Source organism: Homo sapiens, chromosome 20 (genome assembly GCF_000001405.40).
Source record: "Homo sapiens chromosome 20, GRCh38.p14 Primary Assembly".
In the NCBI taxonomy this organism is placed as follows: domain Eukaryota; kingdom Metazoa; phylum Chordata; class Mammalia; order Primates; family Hominidae; genus Homo; species Homo sapiens.
This window is the reverse complement of record NC_000020.11, coordinates 56,957,807-56,961,893: the sequence shown is the minus strand read 5'-3', so window position 1 is coordinate 56,961,893 and position 4,087 is coordinate 56,957,807. Positions and strand designations below refer to the sequence as shown.

Genomic DNA, 4,087 nt, shown 5'->3' with positions numbered 1-4,087 from the left:
CAGCATTGTTTTTGGTAGAAAGAGACTGAAAACAATCTAATTGTCCATCACTGGGGGCTGGCTAAATAGATCGTGACACATCCATTCAACAGAATATTCCGTGGCTGTTAAAAAGAGAATGAAGCTCTTCTTTAAATACTAAAATGGAGCTACCTTCAAGATACATTGTTAAGTGAAATAAGCAAGATGAAAAACAGTGTGTATAATTTGCTGTAATTTATATAAAAAAGAAAACAGAAAGATTCTGTCTAAGTGTGTATTTATACACACAGAGTATCTGAGAAAATGAGAAACTGGGAGTAACAGACTGAATCATATGAAACTGTCATTTTTTTTTTTGGACAGGTTCCTACTCTGTCACCTAGACTGGAGTGAAGTGGTACAATTATGGCTCACTGCAGCCTTGACTGCCCAGGCTCAAGTGATCCTCCCATCTCAGCCTCCTGAGTAGCTGAGACTAATGGTGTACCACCATATCTGGCTAATTTTTGTGCTTTTGTGGAGATGAGGTCTCCCTATGTTGCCCAGGCTGGTCTCAAACTCCTGGGCTCAAGCCATCCTGGGATGATAGGTGTGAGCCACTGCATCCAGTGAAACTGCCATTTTTGTTGGTGGAAAACAAGTAAATATTGAAATGTCATGTGGGTTACCCCAATAGTAACAGTGGTTGCCTCTGGGTGTACAGGAGCAGGGAGGGAAGCTTACTTCCCTCATTATAACTTTTTCTTTGCCTTTGAAATGTTGCACCCATATGCATGATTTAGCTATTTCTATAATTTCATCTCATTTAGTTTTTTTTAAAAAAATAGATGTTCAGAGTGTTATCCATTTGAATAACCATTGCAAAGATTGGAGGTTCCCATTGTGATCAAATCGACAACATTATCTTGAAATTCCAGAGAGGCATTTTTACTTGCCTATTTGTTCTTGTTGTTGTTGTTTTTGTTTTGTTTTGCTTTTTGAGTCAGTCTCTGTTGCCCAGGCTGGAGTGCAGTGGCATGATCTCGGCTCACTGCAACCTCCACCTCCTGGGTTCAAACAATTCTCCAGCCTCCCAAGTAGCTGGGATTACAGGCACGTGCCACCATGCCTGGCTAATTTTTTTTATTTTTAGTAGAGATGGAGTTTTGCCCTGTTGGCCAGGCTATTCTCAAACGCCTGACCTCAGGTGATCCACCCGCTTTGGCCTCCCAAAGTACTGGGATTACAGGTGTGAGCCACCGCACCCAGCCTGCTCTCCTATCTGTATTCAAACAGAAAAAAAATAATTTCTTGCTTCAAATTTAATTCAGAGGGGAAATGCAAACTGAGCCAGAGATTTGTCATTGGAAGGGGAACCTGAAGGCAGAAGAGCAGCAGGTTATTACAGTGAGGAGGGTGACCTCAGGGAGCCGTCCTCTTTAGGACATCCACTGTCTCTGGGGAGCACAGGTCTCTGCGGGTACGGCCCCCAACCTGCCTTGCATGGCCTTCAGAGATGATGCACCTGGGCTATCCACATGTCTCTGGGACTCAGAGCTTGGCCTGCATCCTGGGATGGCAGAGGAATCCTGAGGTTGGGCTAGTCTGCCAGGCCCTCTCTCTTTGCAACAGGGTCACTAATCTAGGACCCGCCCACGTGCTTCTAATTTATTCATTAATATTTTGAAGTTCAAATGCGAGTCCTCTATTTATGCATGTTGGAAATTTTGAAATTGCCACTTTGAGTAATTATGTTTATTTCATGAAAAATAAGGTTAAAAGCAAAGTGCAAACAAATGACCTAAGAGCCCCGTTGAGTGAAACGTGGGATCACCTCTTTTCTCTGACACATTCAACTCATTCTGTTCTTCGGAGGGCTCTTCCTGATGGCTTTGATCCCTGTCAGCAAGGGGGCGGTTAGCAGGCACTCTCAAATGTCCTCAGTGAGAGGACGAATCGGTACAACCCTCTTTGGGAGGGGATGTTAACATTTTATAGCAAACATTTAAATGCCTATACTTTGATCCAGCAATTTTGCTGGAATCTGTCCTGTAGTAATACTCAGATGTGTGTATGCAGATGCAGGTGTGAACAAGCAGTTGTGACATTGATTCTTATGCAGAAAAAATGGAAACAGCCCCAAATATCTATTAATGGGGAGTTCACTAAGTTCTAGCACCTCCATACTCTTGAATCTGGTGTAAAAAGTGAGAGTTAGGAATGTCTGAGCTTAAGCCTCAGGACGCCACTCTGCAACAGCTAAGGGAAAGTTCAGCAGAAGAGCCCCGTACAGCTCTATCCACCTAGACCAGTGGTTCTCATCCAGGGATGACATTAGGCTCCACGGGACACGTGGCCATGTCCGGAGACATTTTTGGTTGTCGCAACTAAGGGGTGCGTGCTGCGGCATCTGATGAGCAGAGGCCAGGGATGCGGCAGAACACCCCACAGTGCACAGCACAGCCCCGCAAGACAGAGAATTAATCAGCCCCGAATGCCATTAGTACTGAAGTTGAGAAACATCTACCCCATAGCACAATCCTTTACATGTTCTGAATCCTCAACGAATGTTTGTTGAATGAATTCATGACATTTACTTACTAAAAACACTGTGTGTGAACGTGATACTGATGAAATGATGAGCAGCTTAAGAGGAGTAAGGCACAGGTGTGGGACACTTTGATGTCTTACCTTCCTCACTTTTGTATCATTGGCTTCTTTTTTAAAAACTAAGAGCAGCTTTCATATCAAAAATGTAAGCAGTGAGGGAAGGAAGGGAGGAAGAGAAAAAGGGAGGGAAGGAAGGAAATTTTTAAATATCCAGTTGCATGAGAAGGCATGAATGGTACTGTGATAGAAGCCAACCTTGGGTCAATTACTTCAACTGTTCTGCCTCTACGTTCTCAGCTTTTAAATGGGCATAATAATAGTGCTCCCCTCTCTGGGTGTTGTGAAGATTAAATCAGTTAGTCCATGGATGCAGTGAGAGCTCAGTAGATGACTTCGTCCTCACTGTTGTTGACAGGGGACCCTGATTGTCACTTTTTTTTTTTTTTAGACAGAATTTCGGTCTGTTGCTCAGGCTGGAGTGCAGTAGTGTGATCTCAGCTCACTGCAACCTCCTCCTCCTAGGTTCAAGCAATTCTGCCTCAGCCTCCCCAGTAGCTGGGATTACAGGTGCGCACCCCCACACCTGGCTACTTTTTATATTTTTAGTAGAGACAGCATTTCACCATATTGGCCAGGCTGGTTTCGAACTCCTTACCTCAAGTGATCCACCTGCCTCAGTCTCCCAACGTACTGGGATTACAGGCATGAGTCACCGCACCCAGCACCTGAAATTCATTTTGATTTCTGTCCGGAATGTTCTCCAGGCCCTCGGCTGGCTCGGGTTCAAGGAGGGCCTGTGATGATTTCGGGAGTGGAGTTTGTGCAGGCACATTCTGGGGTCCAGCGGGCAGCTGTAGGGCCCCAACAGGTGAGTGGTGGCCTTGCATTTGCCCGCATCTACACTGGCACTGGCCCGGGTGAAAGCAGCCTTGGCCTGTCTTTCTCTGCTTTGCCGCCATCTACCCCTCGGGCCTGCGTGGGCTTAATGGAGCATAAATGCAGCGGCCAGCGGGCAGAGGGCTGCTGGCTCTTCACGGCAGGGCTCTCAGCTCGCGTCCTGAAGCCCCACATATCAAGAGACCCTCGACCGCATTTTTCCCGGCTCAAGGCCCCCGTTTTCACCTCGGTCCGGGAACCCCAGTAGCTGCAAAGGCGTTTTCTAACAGAGCGTTGTCCTGGGAGACCGAAAACCTTCTAATCAATGCAAAACGGAGACAGAGAGCAGAGCTGGACAAGAAGCCTGCTACCCACCCCCCACTCCCCCACCATGTTAGCCCTATTAGCAGCAAATCCTTAAGCCAGCGCTTGTAAAAAGCAGCTTGTTTGGGCCTGACCCTCCCCATTCATGTAATGTGATATTGCACGCTTGGCCGACCTCAGCAAGCAGCTAAACATATGTCGTCAGCTGGGCGCTGCTGCCCCTCTATTAAGATGGTTCTGGAAGCATATGTGGGAACTGGCCTGCCCTGGAGACTCGAGGGAAAAGGCAGGAACACAGGCAATTAGAGGGAGCCAC

General features: G+C 46.7%; 1 annotated feature.

Annotated features, from left to right (window-relative positions):
- Positions 2,976 to 3,601: an enhancer, noted in NCBI's record as "H3K4me1 hESC enhancer chr20:55533349-55533974 (GRCh37/hg19 assembly coordinates)". NCBI's record gives its function as "activates a minimal SCP1, AML or CMV promoter by ChIP-STARR-seq in primed H9 embryonic stem cells {active_cell/tissue: H9 hESC(primed)}" and the evidence as "EXISTENCE:reporter gene assay evidence [ECO:0000049][PMID:30033119]".